This window comes from Homo sapiens, chromosome 11 (assembly GCF_000001405.40).
Source record: "Homo sapiens chromosome 11, GRCh38.p14 Primary Assembly".
NCBI classification, from domain to species: domain Eukaryota; kingdom Metazoa; phylum Chordata; class Mammalia; order Primates; family Hominidae; genus Homo; species Homo sapiens.
Genome location: NC_000011.10, coordinates 113,373,836 through 113,374,786, shown reverse-complemented (window position 1 = coordinate 113,374,786; position 951 = coordinate 113,373,836). Strand labels below are relative to the sequence as shown.

Sequence of the window (951 nt, the reverse complement as noted above, 5' to 3'; positions counted from 1 at the left end):
ACATAGGAGCGAATTTGCTTTAATCAGCCCAGATCCCTTCATTTATAAATGACCGAGAGCAGACCGACAGAAGTCTGAACTTTGAACCTCTGAACTTTGGAGTGATAACTCCTGTTATCCAAGGGTTAAGACGTGGAGATTCTTCCAGGCCAGCCAGGCCCTTCCCTCTATTCTCAGTGGCTATTTCTGTGATACCTGCTATGGGGTGCATGGTTCAGGTTCTAAGGCCCTGACAGCACTAAGGGGAGTTTTTGTATGTGTCTGAGTTATTTTCACCTTGACAATGCCCTGCTAGAATAATAATACATGTGGATGAGAAAAATAGGACTCATTTTTCCCAATGTCATTTTGTACTTTCTAGCACAATACTTGGCACATAGTAGGTGCCTGACAAATATATATTGAATGAATGAGTGAGTGAGGAGCTTTTCAGGAACACGCTGTCATTCAAGTAACTTCACGGAGGAGCTGCTTGATGTACAGGCAGATGCTGGGCTCCTAGCCCATCTGGGGGAGGACAGCAGATCCGGAAGTTTGAATATCTCCATTTTTGCAGAGAAAGCGCCGTGGCCTCCACACGCTCATGCCCACCCCACGCCTCCTCTAATGTGTTGTGCCTGATCAGATGGGAAGGTAATCCTTTGCAGTGGAGAGATTTAAGCTGTTATCTAACAGACTGCGGGTGGATTAACGAGGCTTTCTGATAAAACCTTAAATGGGTTAGTTTCATTTTCCCCTTCGCACTCAGGGAGCAGGTGAAAAGAACTAGCTAGTTGACTGTGTTGCAGTTTGGACCAGAAAATTAATGAAAGGAGAGACAGGGCCAGGCAGCGGGCAGAGAGGTTCAAGGTAAAGGCTGGATTTTGGCACTGGCTCAGCCTTAGGAAATTCTGGACAAGATATTGGATCTCCGGGCCTGTCTTCCCTTAGCTTCAAATGGGAAATAATAAT

At 45.8% G+C, this 951-nt stretch overlaps 1 annotated feature.

Annotated features, from left to right (window-relative positions):
- Positions 426-720: an enhancer, noted in NCBI's record as "tiled region #12815; HepG2 Activating non-DNase unmatched - State 23:Low". NCBI's record gives its function as "activates a minimal TATA promoter and a strong SV40 promoter by Sharpr-MPRA in HepG2 cells {active_cell/tissue: HepG2}" and the evidence as "EXISTENCE:reporter gene assay evidence [ECO:0000049][PMID:27701403]".